At 52.2% G+C, this 17,107-nt stretch overlaps 1 protein-coding gene across 7 annotated transcripts in view, besides 1 other annotated feature; it reads right to left on the bottom strand.

Moving 5' to 3' along the window:
* The window catches only part of TSPAN9 (tetraspanin 9), a 209,181-nt gene that overhangs the window by 91,573 nt on the left and 100,501 nt on the right, over positions 1–17,107 (bottom strand). The gene's annotated exons all lie outside the window — the stretch shown is intronic.
* Positions 5,922–6,432: an enhancer, noted in NCBI's record as "H3K4me1 hESC enhancer chr12:3297721-3298231 (GRCh37/hg19 assembly coordinates)". NCBI's record gives its function as "activates a minimal SCP1, AML or CMV promoter by ChIP-STARR-seq in primed H9 embryonic stem cells {active_cell/tissue: H9 hESC(primed)}" and the evidence as "EXISTENCE:reporter gene assay evidence [ECO:0000049][PMID:30033119]".

The raw sequence follows: 17,107 nt of genomic DNA, 5'->3' as shown, positions 1-17,107 counted from the left end.
CTCCAAATTTGGGATCTTCTTCCACTGTACAGTACAGAAAATGCTTTCGTTGCCGAGCAAACCATTTAGCAACCGTGCCAAAAGAGAACAATGGAGAGATCCCTAGCAGGGGGCCCACATGGTGGGGGGAGGCTACAGGGCAGGGGCTAGGAGATTGGGTGTTACCATACTTGGCCGTGATTCAGGAAGGACGGTAACATCGATGGTGAAAGGGTTGGGGTAGAAAAGAAGGAATGGTACTGTTACTTGTTTTTAATCTGTTTGTTTTTTTAAGTTTCTGAGACTAGTAAAGAAAAGAAAGGCCAGGCATGGTTGCTCACACATGTAATCCCAAAACTTTGAGAGGCCAAGGCAGGTGAATCGCTTGAGCCCAGGAATTCGAGATGAACCTAGGGAACATAGTGAGACCTTATCTCTACAAAAAATACAAAAATTAGCTGGGTGTGGTAGCATGCACCTGTAGTCCCAGCTACTCAGGAGGCTGAGGCGGGAGGATCACTTGAACCCGGGAGGTCGAGGCTGCAGTGAGCCATGATTGTGCCACCACACTTTGCTTGGGTGACAGAGTGAGACCCTATCTCAAAAAAGAAAAGAAAAAAACAAGCAGGGTTTGGCTTTGGTGGGAAAGTTCACAGACAGAGGGACACAAAGGGTGGCCAGGGTACCTCCCTCTCTGGAGAAAGGTCTGCTCCTCCCTCCTTCTTGGCCCTTTGTTCAGACTCCAACTACAGTTTGCCCACCTGCCTCTGCTCCAGTCACTGAGCTTCTATAAGAAAGCAGAGGCTGTGTCTGGGTCATTTTACCCCACCCCTCAGTGCCTGTCAGTGACCACCCCACAGCAGGTACTCAGGAAGTGCTGGAGGACGGAGGGGAAAGGCAGACCAGCGTGCCTAAATCTTGAGCTCTCCTCAAGGACAGCCTGACAGCCTTGAGTTCATTAACTAAAGGATGGGGCCCAAGCCAGAAATCTATGGAATTGTTCCTGGAAAGCAGGCTATCCAAGGGCGTCTGAACCTGACAAGCTGAAACACCCAGCTACAGATAAGAGTGCAAATGCCATGCGGTCAGCTGTCTCACTCACAGCCATATCCCCAGCACGTGGCACAGCCTGGAATGGATGGATGGATGGACAGACAGAAGGACAGATAAACAAATGTATGGAGGAAGAAGTGGGAAAGATCTGAGGTAGAAAAAAGAGAAGACTGAGACAGGAGCAAGTCAGGGACAGGCAGCCCCTCGACCTCTGCCCATTCGGAGTGGGCTGGGCCTCTTGGAGGGGCTCCACGGAGCACAGCCAGGAGCACTGCTGCCCCAGCTCCAAGTCTCTGGTGAACCCTTACACATTCCCTAGTGTTGCGTGTCACCTCTCAAAGCCCAAGAGCAAAGCTGCCCCCCGGCTACGGTCAGCCCTTGTCAGAGGCCACTTCTGGCTACCAGAAAACATGGCCATGCAGAGACCCTTGGCTGTGTGTACAGTCTACCCACGACAGGTGGGCACACTGCTCAGAGCATGTACTGGGGCCTTCGGAAAGATCAGTTAGCTTAGCGCCGAGGAAACACGGGCACAGCTATAAACCAGCTACAGCAATCCTGCCCCAGCCAGGAGTACTGAAAATGTGGCTTCTGGACCATGAGGAGCCAGGCAGGTGGTGTGGATTGTCACAAAGCCAACCTCACTCCCACTGTCCCCGAAATCGGCTCACACCACATGCCCTGGTTACTGTGGGTCAGCTGGGCTCAGATGCCTTCAATGACCCCTGTCCATACCACTATCCAACTCAACCACAGAGAACAAAACTCTAGTAAAATAACAAAGGGGGAACACTCTGGGCCTTGGGACTAGATGAATCTGTGTCCAAATCCCATCTAGAGTGAGTTACCCCACTGCTGGATGCCTAGAATGACCACTTAATTGCTCCATATCTCAGTTTCTTCAGCTAGAAAATGGAAATAATATGCACCTTCCCCAGCACTATGTAAAAAAATAAGGAATAAAGGTTACGAGGGAACACAGAAGCTGTTCAATGGATGGAGGCACTATTATCATTCCCAACAATACTTATTATAGTCAACATGGAACCAGCTCCTGTCTAGCTACAGTGTAGCTGAACAGAGAAAGAAACATCATCAATAGCTAATGTTGTGTGGCTGAAATTCTAAGGGAAATGCTGGCTGCCCTCCTCCTCCTCCTCAGGGAGGCCCTCAGCTCTGAGCCCTCTTCTCTTCTGCCCAACTTTCCTCTATATGACCATCTCCTCCGTTCCAGGGCCATCTGCATGCTGTTGACCCCCTAAATGCACACCTGGACCTGACTTGTCTCCTGAGCCCCAAGCACAGGTCCCCAACTCCTGCTTGTCATCCCCCTGGCTGTCTCCCAGACAGCTCCAGGAGGGACTGACCTTGCCCCGGATGTGCTCCCTGGCACTATCCGCTCCTTCTCAACAAATGGCTTAAGTTTTCACCCCACTGCTTATGCCAGAAGCCTCAGACTCATCCTTGGCTCCCGGTTGTCACTTGCTCCCACCTCGAAGCAAACACAAGTCCAAGCCGCAGAGCCTCCCTGCACCTGGCATCCTCCTCGTCCCCGCCCTTGTCCAGCCCTGCTTCATGGCTCGCCTGGGGTCCTGCGGCAGCCCCTGCAGCCTTCCATTCCCTCCTGCGCCCACCCATTCACCAAGAGCAGCCAATGCAATCTTCCCACTCATGTGCCTCTCCACTGTAACCTCATCAGTGGCTTCCCATCTTACTTGGATTACAATTGTGTGTGTGCCTGTGTGTTTCCTAGTCTACTTTTCTAGTACAGTCCAAATCCTTAGAGCAACCCTAAACGGCCGGCATGACTGATCCCTGCCTTTCTCTCCAGCCCCCGTCCAACATTCTCTGCTCACCCATTATTGCCACAGCCGTGAACTCTCGGTGCTCTGACCTCCTCAGAGCCTCCGCCCATGCTGTTCCCTCTGCTTGGATGCTCTTCCTGGACCCACTGCCTGGCTTCACTCTACTCACCCCTGAGCTCTTGTGAATTATTGAAGAAGGTCTATTCTAGTTTTCTGGCTGCCCCCCACTGTCAAAACTAAAGCCCCCTTTCTTTCAATACAACTCCTCACAGCACCATTTGCCCCTTTTTTTCTCATAGCAGTCACCATCATTGGAAAATCCATGTTTGTTAGGGTGACAATGTTACTATCTGATTCTTCTACTAGACCATGAACCCCAGAAAGGCAGAGACTGCCTATGTCTCCCTCACTGCTTTACACCCAGTACCCAGTACTATTCCTGACCTACATTAGGGGCCCAATCAATACCTGATGAACACATGCAGAGGAGCTCAAGGGAGGGCAGGCACAGGGCAGGCAGGGCCAGCAGGGAGGGCTTCCGGGGCTTTCCAGGTGTCTGATCACCTCGTGCCACCTAAGGAACAAAGCCTGAGGACACTGATGACCTGTGTGGCCTCTAGTTGCTCAACCTCTGGTTCCTCAACTACAAAACAAGCAGACTGGACTAGTTGTTTCTCTAAGGTTCCTTGGAGCCCTGAAATCCGCACCCTATGAAATGGCACTGGACAGGCAGGGGGGAAGGGGAAGAGCACCCTGGCAGGGGGGCAGCTGGGCAGAGCCAGGGCACAGCAGAGGGCCCAGGACATTTGGGAGGCACCCACACGCTCCACTGGAATGAAGCTTTGCAGAAAGGGAGCCTGAAAGGAGGGTGGGCCAGAGCACAGATGACCCTGGATGCCAGTTTAAAATCTGTACAGGTGCTTGCCCACCCCACTCCTCTCAGCAACTCCCTCTCCTATACCTTTCTTGGCCTACACTCCCACCAAATTAACCCACATCAAATTCCCCCTCATCCCCTGGCCTTTGCACTGGATGCTCCCTCCGCCTGAAACCCCCTTTCCCCCACACCCCGAATGGCTAACATCCACAATCCAGTTGGCATCAGGGTGCTGTCACCTCCTCCAGGAAGCCTCATTGGTATACCAATAACGCATAGTTAATCCTGCCATGATGCCACCTGTTCCCTGACCTTCCCCCGCTCCCAAATTGTGAGCTCCTTGAATGCAAGGACTGTGTCCCTCCTCTTTGTCTTCTAAGCACTTGGCATTTGTCTAGCACACTGGTGCTCTAAAGTCACTGCTAAATGCATGAGTAGCAACAGGAAGAACCTTTGTGTGCACCTTAAGGTGAGAGCAGCTCTTTAGAAAAATCAGCCTTTGCTTGGAGCAGGGCAAGCTTTACAAAAAGAGTTAGAATGGCCACTCCTGCAGGACAGGCATCTCCTCTTAGAGAAGGTTTACCAGATAAGAGGGGGCAGCAGAGATTGGGCCCTAGAAGAACGGGGCTGATAGTCTGCCTGGACAAAGAGTCACCCACTCTGGGCTCTCAGGCCCTGTTTTGCAGGAAAGTTCCAAAGCAGCCCATCTTTCATCCTAAGGCCAATCAGCATCCCTGTCAGATCCTCAAAAGGGCCTGGAGTAAGAGCCACTGTGCTGGACAGACAGATGTACCTGCCCATACACATATGCACACACTGAGCCCACTGCTCCTGGAAAACAGGAGAAAGAAGGCATTTGTTATTAGTACTTATCAAGGAAGGCAGGTGGCTGCGGGGAGGATGAGATAAGGCAGACCGCCGGGCACACGGAAGTGTGATGAAGCCTGCGACTTATTACCATGCACCAGTGGAAATGGACTGACCCAGCAAATCCAATATTCCTAAACCACTCCACAGAGGGTGCTGACTTGCCAGCTGGGACGGCGCTCTGCAACCTCACATCCAGCCTGACTGTGCAGCTGGGACCCTTCTGCTGATTTCAGGAGCTGCTGCCTGCTGCCTCCCTCGGCCCACTCTCCCTCTACGGGGCTGGTACTAGAGCCAATGTGGAAGAAGGCAGTGTGTGAGCAGCACTTGGGGGTGCTGTAAAGTGAAGAAGATGGAGAAGAACCAGCGCCCCAGATTCCACACTGCTCTGCAGCCCTCATGGGAGGGAGCCTGTGCATGTTCCACTCTCGCTGATAGAGTGAGAGGTGTCTGGATGGGTGGCAGGGACAGACTTGGGCATCCCTAATGGCTGTCTTATGGCTCGAAGGCCCGCAGTGCATTAAGTCACTTGTGGCCTCTGAACTGCCATCGGCTGCTCTGTAAAGTAAGACAGGAGCACTGGCTGTCGTCTCACTCCATCTCTCTTCCCTCCTCCCCATCAGGCTGGCCCATAGCTATGGGGCTGTCATTCAAGGTGCCTCCCACTGAAGGGGCCTCCTAAAGGCATCCAGCCCGTCTGAAACCTGGAGGCATCTTTTCTCATTTCAAGGTACTTGAGGTGAAAATAGTCACAACTCACACCCTCGAATCAGCCATCCAGGCTACCAAGCCTCTTACAGTCCCAAAAGGTGCTTTCAAAGGCTCTTAGGTTGCTCCAGCCCAGGTCTGTTCCTGTTGTAACCCAGTCACACGTGACTGGGCTGCCTCCTGTCTGCCAGTCTCCTGACCAGGCTCCCTGCACCCTCTCCCTCTGTAGTCACCCTGCCACATGCTGCCACTAGTACTGGCCCAAGGCAGAGCTTGGCACATGCCATCAGCTCAAAAACTTCCCCAGGGATTTAAACACAAATACTCAAGCTTGTCACTGGGGCCCTTCTACATGGTACTCTGTCAGCCTTCTTCCCCACAAATCCCAGAGCTGTGCCCTCTGCTTCCAGCAACACCAGCCCCTCAAGGTGCAGCCCACCCCTGTGCCTGCATGCACCTGCCCTCCACCTCCGAAGCCTCCCCCATCCTGCTCAGCCTTGAGGAGATGTTTCAAGGTTCATCTCAAATGCCACATCCTCCAAGAAAGATCCCCCAAAATGAAGAGGCACTCTTCTTGTTCTAGTCATCTCTTTTGGACACTGATTTTACTCTGCATTGCATGACAGCTATTTGCATAAATGCTTTTCCTTTGTACAAGACTAGAAGCTCCAAGCGGGGAGAGCTCACCCGCGCTCCTCTGCGGCAACCAGCGCAGCCCCATACATGGTGCACACTTAGGAAACTAAAGAGAAACTGAGTCCCTCCCACAATGCACAGAGCCCCCGAGCCTCACCCCCACCTTCACCACACATACTCACCTCAGTGTATGTATCGGACACCCTCTAACACTGCCCTCGGCCTATCTGGGAGGTATTCACCTTGATAGATCACCACCATGAGTCCTCTCTGGAGGCCCTCTCTGGAGTCACCCACCAGATCCAGCCATCTACAGAAACCACCGGGGGGCTCAGATGTCCAGCCTGGAGCTCTGAGAATGTGGCTGGGCTCCGTGAGGCCCAATGTGTCCAGGTGGCTGCACGTCACTCATCCCCCAAGCTCCGGCCCCAAGAGGCGCTTCCACATCCCAGCCAGGCCAGGCGCCAGGGCACACCTGCTCTTCCCCTCCCCCACACTGCTGCCAGAGGAAATGCCAGCCCGAAGCCACGGCCAGCCGGACACAGCAGGGACACACCCTGGGCACTGATGCTGCCCCCTCCCTTCCTCTGCCACCCAGGCCCGGGTACCTGACTAGCACCCTGGTGCAGCCCCCATCCCTCCATGAATGCATATTCCCCCTGCCGCTCTGTCTGCTTCCTGCAGAGATGAACACACAGCAAGCACAGTAGTACCGCAGGAGCCTGGCAGGGCACAGAGCAGGCCACCCCAGTGCTGTGGAACCCGGGGAGACACTGACAGCTCCCTGAGTGCAGGACACATGTCTTGAATGAATGAATGAATGAATGAATGTGAGCATGCCTCTGTTTCCTCATCAGTATAATGGGGTTAAGTGTGACCATGAGGGACAGATGAGGCAGTGTCTGGGAAACTACTTTATCAAGTGGGAGGCACTTGTCTTTGGAACCTTTCACCCCCACACACCACAGCCAGCCATCACACTTCATAGGAGCTCGATAAAAGCGAGACACCTATGCTGATGAATCAGTCCCTGCAGAGTTCCCCAGCACCCATAGGTACGCCACCCTGGGTTTGCCACTGCAGATGCTGCCAAGGAGAATTAGCATTACAGAGCAAACGCTCCATCTGCATCTGGGCAAAGAGCAATCAAATGAAAGGGTGGGACAGAAGTACCCCTGAGTACATGCAAGGACTGGAGGTTCAGCCTGGGAGTGCCCCGAGGACCTGCCCAGGGAGAGTCTGGCCCATCAGGAAGGGCTTCTTGGAGAAGGGGTACGTGTTGGGCTTGCATGGCATCCAAACAGAATGAGGACAGAGGAGAGAGAGGCCTGCGTGCCTGAATACCGCAAGCCAAGACCTGTTCATGGTGACTCTTGCAGCTTTTTTGAGGGGCTCTCACACTAATGATCACATCTGGCCCTCACCCACCCCTGCAAGATAAGCAGGGAAGTTGTCTCCGTTTGTAAAAGAGGGAACAAAGGGCCAAAGAGGGGAGAGCACTCGTCTAAGCAAGTAAGGAGAGCTGGGACTGGAACCTATGTCTCCTGACTTCCAAAACAGTGAAAACAGTGATCTTTCCTTACACCAAGCGGCCTTACCTGGGTCCAGTGCTGGGCCCTGCTTTTATGGACGAAGCTGGCCACTCCTGGACATACACGTACCCATGCCACCTGCACAAAGGCAGGCAGAGGAAGGAAGGAAGCAGGCTGAGAGGACACTCATGCATTTAGGATTACCCAGCTAGGAAAAGCAGAGACGCCCCACATCACAACACCAAAGGACAAGCCCTGCCAATCCTGGAAAACACACCACTGCCCCGCCAACCCCAACCTTCATCACCCTCATCCAGTGTCCCCTGTGCTCTTTCTGACCACACGGCATGAACACAGGTGATCTGCCAAGTGAAAGAAAACAGAGGCCCTCCCCTCTGAAAGCACAGCACAGGTAGAGTAGAGGTAACAATCCAGTGGTGGGCTGGCAGACGTTCAACAATCAGCTCTACAGGGGAAAAGCCCCGATTCAGAGCGCTTGCCAATGCCATGGTGTAAGTACTCCCACCACAGCCAATTTCAAGCTACTGGCAGGCAAATGTTCTAATTACTTTCTAATAGGCTCTCAAGAACCAGTACAAGTAGGCTCCAGCAAACAACTGTAACAAACCCATCTCCCTCCCTCCAAAAGAAACTCCAGGCAGAGAAAAGAAATCCAGCACCATCCTGCCCCCTCCTCCCCAGGAGTAAAAGTCTCAGGTCAGAGCTTGGGGAATAGAAACAGAGGCTGGACGAGTCATAGGGAAAGGATGGGGCAGCCCCCTGTCTGGTCTCCTGGGGCCTCCCCAAGAAAAACACAACTGAAATTAGCTCTTATACTACAGTGATCGTGTCTCTTAAGTGAGACCATGCCACTGATCTGTGCAAAACCCCCTAATGCCTTCTCATGTCTCTCAAAGAAAAAGACAAAGTTCTTAGAAGAACTTGTGTGTATACACACACACACACACACACACACACACACAAACAAACTCCTGGCCCACTCACTCCACTCCAGCGACATTGTCCTCTGTGCTGTTTCTTACATTGGAGACTTTACATTGGCTGTCCCCTCTGCCTGGAACATTCTTCTCCTAGATCTCAGCACTGCCACTCCTCTCAGCTCCTGTAAACCTCCACTCAAATGGCATCTTCTCCATGAGGCCTTCCCTGACCACCCCATTCAAAACTGTACCTCCCCCAGCACACTCCATCTCTCTTCTCCTGCTCTGCTTCACTTACTGCTGTATTCCCAAAGCTACGAACAGTTTCACACAAGACAGGTGTAAGTATTTTTGAAAGAATGTATGAATGCCTGGGAAAGGTCTCTCCCAAACCCCTAGGTGCCATCTTGGCTTCCCAAGAGCAGGCAACTGGCGAGTGAGGGAGCCCTGTAGTTAGCGCCTGCCCAGCTGAGACTCAGGATACCTGCGTTCTTGCCCTGGCCCTGACATCTGTGACCTGGCACAGCTGCATCCTCCATCCCACCTTCGCACTTCATTTAGCCTCTAATGGGACCCTACATGGCTAACCCTGGGCAGTACCGAGGGCCGGAGCTAAGGCCAAACAGAACACCAAGTCTGAAGGCCCCTGAGCTCCACAGTGAGAGCCTCCAAGGTCAGGTTCGAGGCATTCCCTTTATTCAAAGGTCTAGGAAAGACAAGCCCTTTGCTTCCCCTCTGCACCAGCCACACCCGAACTCCAGCTACATCCATTCCCCATTCTCCAGCTCTGGGCCTAGAAGAAACCCCCCAAAACACTCTCTACCCCAGTGGTTAAAGCCAGTAGAGCCCCAAGCCCAGGCGGCTGCCCCATCAGGCCTCAGGCGGGCTCCCCACATGCCCAGCGGCCAGCTCACGCTGCTATTTTAAGCTCTGCGGGCCCAGCTGCAGCACGTAGAGCCACAGCAGGCTGGCAGCCGGGGTGGAGGTAGGGAAGCAAACTCACTAAGGAGTGCTGACCTGAGGCGCTCCGAAGGGGGAGACTGGTCATCCCCTTACCACCACCCCTTCTCTACACAGACTGGAAACTCCCAGGCCCACCCTCAAATCCACCAGCCATGGGGAAAGTGAGTCAGGAGCTGCATTGGGCACGCCTACATTCCATTTCTGAAAGTGACCCCCTGAGTTTCCACAGCAAAATGACTCCTAGCCCCACCCTGCCAACCCCTAGAAATTCCAGCAAAGCTAGAACAAGCACAGCACCCATCTTCCAAGTGCTAACAACATGAGACAGATACCAAAAGCACAGGCCAAAGAAAGGAGCTAACCTGCTACTGTCTGAGATAGCTTATCCGCCGAGTCCCCCAACTCCCTTCTCCCGCCCCGTCTCCCCTCAGTGACTGTGCACAGTGCCAGGCACACAGCCACACTCAATAAATACTTGCTGATTAAATGACTGCTTCCAAATGCATGCTGAAACCAAACATGATGGAAGTGGTCTAGGGAGAACACAGTCTTCACTACTCTTATCATGAGCCTCGTTATTATCTGTGTTTCTGCTGACCTCATTGCACACTGAAACAGAATAGAGACTATAGAACCAAGGAACCAGCGGAGTTTAGTAACAAAGCAAGGATGCCTCCCTGCTGGCCAGGGAGGAAGTCTGCCATTGCACCACTCCAGCAGGACAGTTACACTGCATTCCCTGTGAACTGTGCCCCCTGAAGGTGTGCAACACAGAGGCCCTGTTCCAACCCTGCTCTGCCATGGACACCCAAGCCTCCGAGAGCTGGCTTGAGAAGGAACGCACAGAACAGGAACTCCGGGTGCAAGCTATTCCCATCCCCAACCTCATGCCGCAGAACGTCAGCAAAACCATGCAGGGCAGGACGGGTCACACATGCCCGGGGCTCCCGGCAGCATCCCGTGGCTCTAATCGCTCAGCTGAAGCAACATCAGCACCAGGGAAAGAGGAAGGAAATCCAGACGGTGCTATCATCGGGGAGCCCTGCTACCTTTCCCCTTGCTACCTGTCTCTCTCAAGACCAAACCAGCACCCACACCTTAAAGAAATAGATTCACTACCTGGATTTGGGGGAAGAGGGACATTCCTTGGACTCTTTCTTTTTTTTCTCTTTCTCTTTCTCTCTTTCTTTCTCTCTCTCTCTTTCTCTTTCTTTCTTTTTTTCTTTTTTTAATAGGGTCTCACTCTGTCACCCAGGCTGGAACACAGTGGCACAATCTCAGCTCACTGCAGCCTCCACTTCCTGCGTTCAAGTGAGCCTCCCACTTCAGCCTCCCAAGTAGCTGGGACTACAAGTGTGCACCACCACGCCCAGCTAATTTTTGTATTTTTTCTAGAGATGGGATTTTGCCATGTTGCCCAGACTGGTCTCAAACTCCTGAACTCCTGAACTCAAGCGAGCTGCCCACCTCGGCCCCCCAAAGTGCTGGGATTACAGGTGTGCACCGTGCCTGGCTGGATTTTCTTATTGAAGGAAGATCCCAGAAGCTATGGGCCGTCAGAGATCATTTGGTCTACTTCTCCCTCCCCCTCCCTTCCCTGGCTTCAATCAATCCAGACCCTTCTGGACATTTCTATTATAACTGTAGAAGCAATGACAACAGCCTGCAATTATAGAAAAATGTATGCTGTTCAAAGGGATTTCACATACGCGACCATCACAAAAGCCCTAGGAAGTCACTGCAGCAGACATCATTGTACCCAACTTACAAAAAGATTCCAAAGGTGAAGTGGCACACACCTGAGGCCAATCACCGAGTAGACTGGAACCCGGGTCTTCATACATCTAGTCCAGTGTTCTTTCCCAAATGCCGAGTTCCCTCTAAAACTACTTCTCCAAGCGTGGGTCCCAGGCCAGTTGCTCCAGAATCCTTGGGTATTTGGTGATGAATGCAAATTCTGGGGCCCACTCTGGCCTAAAAGTATCTGGAGGCAGAATGTTGATAACCTGCCCTGTGAATGCTCTGTGGGGGATTCTGAACTGTGTTCAACCCTGAGAGCCCCTGCTTTCTTTGTTGACTGGATCTGACTGGCTCATCCTTTCACTAACCAAGCAGCAGCTAATCTCCTACCTCCGCCAGCAACTCTCCCCAAACTAGAGCCTCTCTGGGTATAAAACCTCCATTGCTGTCCTTGGGTTCATCTCCCTGAAGATACATTTGCACCTAATCGCCAAGGTAACCCTTACACATTTCTGTCAAGAACTGGAAGTCACGCCAGCTGCGGAGAAAATCCTGGCCAAAATCTCCCCTCCCCACTTTGAGAGGGGACAGATCTCAGATCTGCCTAAATCCCTCTGTTCAGCCCAAGCCCATATTCCAGATGTGCCTAGCACAGAGGGATGCAGTGGAAGAGAAAGGAAAGGAAGAAGCAGCATGAAATCACTCCAGAGTGGCCTTTCTTTATGGCACCCTGGGGCCCCCACCCCTCCAGAAGCCTTCTCTGAGCACTTGGCCACCGCGGGTGCTCCTACTTGCATGTGTCATCAGCAATGGCGCTAGCTCTGCCTTTGACTGTTCACTTTCAGGTACGCCCTAACCCCAGCAAAGCCGACAGAGCAGATCCCCAGTATTCCGAGCCTCAGTCCCGGAGACAGCTCTCAACCTGCCTCGGGCATCTGTCTCCGACCATGCGGCCCTGACCCTGTCTCCGCCACTCTGTGTTGTGCTCAGCTCCTGACTGGCTGTTGCAGCCTCAGGGAGGGCTGCGTGGCCTGGCTCACCTCTCTGCCTGCCCCAATTCTAGGCTCCAATTAGCCTCCCCTCCCTTGGCATGGAGGCTTCTCAGGCTGATGGCCCAGTCACAGATCCCCGCCTGGTGGTCCCAACACACAACTTCCTCCCACTTTCTCCCCCTCACTGCCTCTCAATCACATGGCCTGGCTGACAGCCTGAGGGGCAGGTCTCTCTTTGCGGACAGACCTGTCAGCTGCAAGAGAATGGGGTGCCAGTTGTATTCCTGCTGAGTTACCTTTAGCATCTCCCACAACCTAGTCGTGTGCCAGTTGCTCAATAGCACTGTTGAATGAATGAATGGGCAGACGAATGAATGAACTGCAGCCCGGCCAACTTTTCTGGTGGTATCTAGTGAAAAAAAAAAAGGTAGGAAGAGGGAAGAAAGTCATAGGAAGAGAAAGAGAAAAGAGCTCCCTCACCTTAGGCCAAGAACAAGGCCATCAGCTCAGAGGAGGCTGTGGGCCCCAGGCAGCCTCGGGTGGGCGCAGCAACAGCCTTCCTACCTCCAAAACCCTGAAGCCCCCCACCCTCCATCAGTAACCAGAATTAGCAAATTAGCAGTTTCTTCATTCCATCAAGCAGAGCATCCCCCAAGCAGAAAGCCAGTCTGATCTGGGTGAATTAATCGAGTAATTAACTTCCCTGATCTGCTCCCTCCCAGCCCACCTTTCAGAAAGGGTTGGTAGCGCCCCACAGGAGGGTTGACTGGGGGCCGGGGGTCCAGGGGGCTACAGCCTTCTCCACCAGCCCCAACTTGCCAAAAATTCCTGTCTACCCTACATCACACACGGGCCCTCCAAAGACCTCAAAGCCCCCTCCCAAGGCACACAGGCCTCCAACACACAAACACAAGCACACAACACATGTGCACGTGCATGTCCACACACTGACTGTGGGAACACCTCTCAGTCAGCTTGGATTCTGGCTGTGGTTCCAGTTTTGAGCTCAGGCACCCATGGGACGCTGCAGGTGGCCTGTCAGATACAGCAAAGGAGCAAGGAGAAGCAGGTAAAATGAATCTGGAGAAAAGACTGATGAAGTGAATCACAGAAAGTAAGAGGCAGTGCAGGGCAGAGGGAAGGGCACGAGGGCTGGGGTCAGAAGGCCCAGGTGTGAGTCCCAGTTCTATCTCCTAGGGACAATGTGACTTTGGGCGTGTCACTTAACCCCATGAGCTTCATGGGGCATAAAGCCCACCTCCCTTCTGGGCTGTCCTAGGATGAAATGAGCTCATTAGGTGTTACTTATGTCCAATCTCCTCCCCTCTGCACAGGCCAGAGGTCACCAGGCAGCCTTGCTGTCATTTCTCAGCTCTCACTACCATGGGCACTGCCTTAGCATTCTGGGCCCCCACCTGCCTACCTCCACTTTCTGCCTGAGAGATGCGGATGAGGTGGTAGGGAGACATGGGTCAAATCAGTCCTATCATATTCAAATCCCAGCTCTGCCCCGTGACAAGGCACTTTCCTTCTCTGCATCTCAGTTTCCTTGTCTGAATTATGGATACAATAAATGTCCAACCACACACAGTTGATGATCTACGTCCAGGGCCCGATTCCGTGCCTGGCACACACCACACTTCATACACAGTAGATAATATTTCTTTTAATTATCATCCCCATCATGATTCTGGCTAATGCAATTAGTCTTCCCCTCTGGAGTAGTAAAGCAGAGGCCTAATTCCTCTCCCGGGCGCCAGCCGCTCGCACATAAGATGGTGCCATGGGCCCCGAGTCTTCTCTTCCCCAAGCAAACATCCCCCCCACCCATCTTTCCACTGTGACTCATGCCGAAGCCCCCTGTCCAGTCTCCTCCTTGACCCTCCTGGTCTACCAGTGCCCTCCCTAAAATGCAGGGCCCTGAACTCCTACATCTGAGCCGTGCGGTACCTCTAGCACCACCTAAGCGCCTGGCACACAGCAGGTGCACAGAAAAATAGAATAACTTCGTGGATTCACAAGTCAGAGCTCTGTTTATCATTTTAGTATGAAAAATAATCCTGTTAACCTAAGATCCTAAGACCTCTGTCTCAAGATCAAATTTATTTTAGAAAGGTGATGTTAAGGTGATGGAGACCTTGTTAAAAAGGGCCCATCCAAGCTTCCTAGGTGACAGGCACTTACTCTGGAAACATGGACGAAAATAAAGAAGGTGAAAATCCAATTTCAAGAAATAAAGCATCTGAGTTATAACAGATATTTAACTGTGAGCCAAATAAGTTAACCTGTTAATTGTTTCCATTTGCTTTCATCTGTAGCAACCCCTCAATCCATGCTTTTCAAACTGCAGGCTGTGACCCATTATTGGGTTATAAAATCGGCTGAGTGGGTCAGAAGACTTTTTTTTTTTTCTTTTAGATACAGCATCTCGCTCTGCTGCCTGGGCTGGAGTGCAGTGGTACAATCACAGCTGACTACACTCTTCAACTCCCAGGTTCAAGTGATTCTCCTGAGTAGCTAGAACTACAGGTATGGGCCACCATCCTGGCTAATTTTATTTTTTCTGTAGAGACAGGGTCTCACTATGTTACTCAAGCAACCTTCCCACCTTGGCCTCATGAAGTGCTGGGATTACAAGTGTGAGCCACTGTGCCGAGCCCAGAAGAGTATTTTTTAAAAATAAAACAGAAAACACCAGAAGGTATCTCACACAGTAAAGATAAGAATTAATTAATGAAACGTTTTCTCAGGTGTAGCTGTGTGTGCGCTGAATTACAATGTTTGGAGAAACAATGCCCTGGGTCTTTAATGGTGACACGAATGGCCCACAAGTCTTGGAACATGGGTAGACCGCCCATGAGAATTCGCACTTTCTAGGTATGAAACTCAGAGCTGCTTACTTTCTGCAAGGAGCTGCACCTGGCCAGGAAGCTTTACCAGCTGCAGGAAATACACTGGGATTCACTCTCAAGATGGAGATGTGCCAAAACGTTACGTGTACCGTGAGAAGAGACGGTGCACGTCTTGTCAGTGGAAATGTGTTCTGAGTCCGTCAATCTCACCACTATCTGCCAGATAGAACTCTGGCTGAGAATCTGGATTTAACATGCTCGCCTGCAAAATGGGGAGAATCGTGCCCCAAATCTGGAATGGACAATATGTAATGTGGACTCTTTATTCATGGATTCATCACTTGATTGCTGAAACAAATCAATGTTGGTTTAAAAAAATGCATGATGTTAGCTCAGAATACAACTATACCTTCCTAACCTATTAAATTAGAGAAAACCAATTGTAAACCAAGCCAATATCTTACCCGTTACAAATTCTACTCAGCTGTCTGCCTCACATGTCTAGAGTAGACACCACCTCCTGCTGGTTCTCCAAAACAGAAGGAAAACATCACGCCCTCACGCATCTGAAGGCTCCAAGCAGGGGGACAGTGGCTTCCTCTCTTGTTTCACTTAGGGCAGAATGAGAGGAATGGGCTTAAAATGCAACAGGAAGCCTGCAGAAGACAGAGCTGTTAAAGACGGGAACAGGTGACTGAAGCAGGTGCTAGCTACCACCCTGGGCCGGTTGAACCCCACCCCACCTGGAGTCAGAGTGGGGTGAGTGTCGGGGTGTGTAATGCACCCAGCATGGTCCCTTCCTTCCTAGATGACTTTGGGAGGTGCCTTCCTGTCTGCGGCATCCATGGTTCCAGGATGAGGCAGGATGATGAGTGTGGGGTTGCCACAAACAATGAGCCCTCTCGGCCGGGCCCCGCAGCCTATTTCCAGCTCCTGATAGTTCCTGTCTAATGCCAACATTGACAGAGGAATCCAGGGCATCCTGGGCCCAGCATTGTTCAAATCACACATTCCTCTTCAGAAAAAGCTACAGAATAACTCTCATTCCTCCGCCCTCCCAGGAGAAACCACATCAGAGAATAAGCAACCAGATCCCCACATGTGATGGGGACCAAGGGGGATGGGCGCGAGCCACAGGGTGTCTCCACCATTGTCCATCAGATCCCCCACAGCAGATGCACAGAATGCCCAGAAAGCTAACCTGCCTGACCCACAGCTAAGCCCACCCTCAAACCACACAGCCAAGGGCAAGTGAGCGCGACCAGAGGCCCACCTGTACCCCCACCCAGACACACCACATTCTAAGTGTTAATGTTCTACACCACCCGTCTCGTTGACATTTTGTGAAAACTGCAACTAAACTCTCAGGAAAGGGAAGAAGAGATGTTTATGGAGTGCCTACTAAGCGTCAGGCACCGGGATAAGCACGAGCATCAGAAACCCCTTCATCTGGCAGGGCGCAGTGGCTCACGCCTATAATCCCAGCACTTTGGGAGGCCAAGGCGGGCAGATCACCTTAGGTCAGGAGTTCAAGACCAGCCTGGCCAACACGGTGAAAACACATCTCTACTAAAAATACAAAAGTTAGCCAGGCGTGGTAGTGCATGCCTGTAATTCCAGCTACTCGGGAGGCTAAGGCAGGAGAATCGCTTGAACCCAGGAAGCAGGGGTTGCAGTGAAATGAGAGCACGCCACTGCACTCCAGCCTGGGCAACAAGAGCGAAACAACTCTGTCTCAAAAAAAAAAAAAGAAAAAGAAACCCCTTCATCTCCATGGGTCACCGGCCACAGCTGAAGACAGAAATGCAAATGGAGGGAAAAAACAAAGCACAGCTGTTATGCTAAGCACTGTATGGGGAGTGGATACGTGGGTAGCGGAGACGGTGAGGAAAGTTCATAAAAAAAGATAAGAATGGCAGATACAAAAGCATACAGCGGGGAAAGGCCAGCACTACCCATCCCTGATCAATACCACCACAGGAAAACACCACTGCCCTGTGTGCCCATGACACCATGCCACCTGCAGAACAGAAACCTGCACGACTGAGGGCCAGGGGCTAACCATCTGCCCAGAGACCCATCGGCGGGCAAGACACGGCCCAGACACAGCCGACAGGACCTCACACCCTGGCGGACGAGGACACTGGCCGTCACCCGCCTGT

This window comes from Homo sapiens, chromosome 12, assembly GCF_000001405.40.
Source record: "Homo sapiens chromosome 12, GRCh38.p14 Primary Assembly".
NCBI lineage: Eukaryota > Metazoa > Chordata > Mammalia > Primates > Hominidae > Homo > Homo sapiens.
The sequence above is the reverse complement of the archived record's forward strand: the minus strand, read 5'-3'. Positions and strand labels throughout refer to the sequence as shown.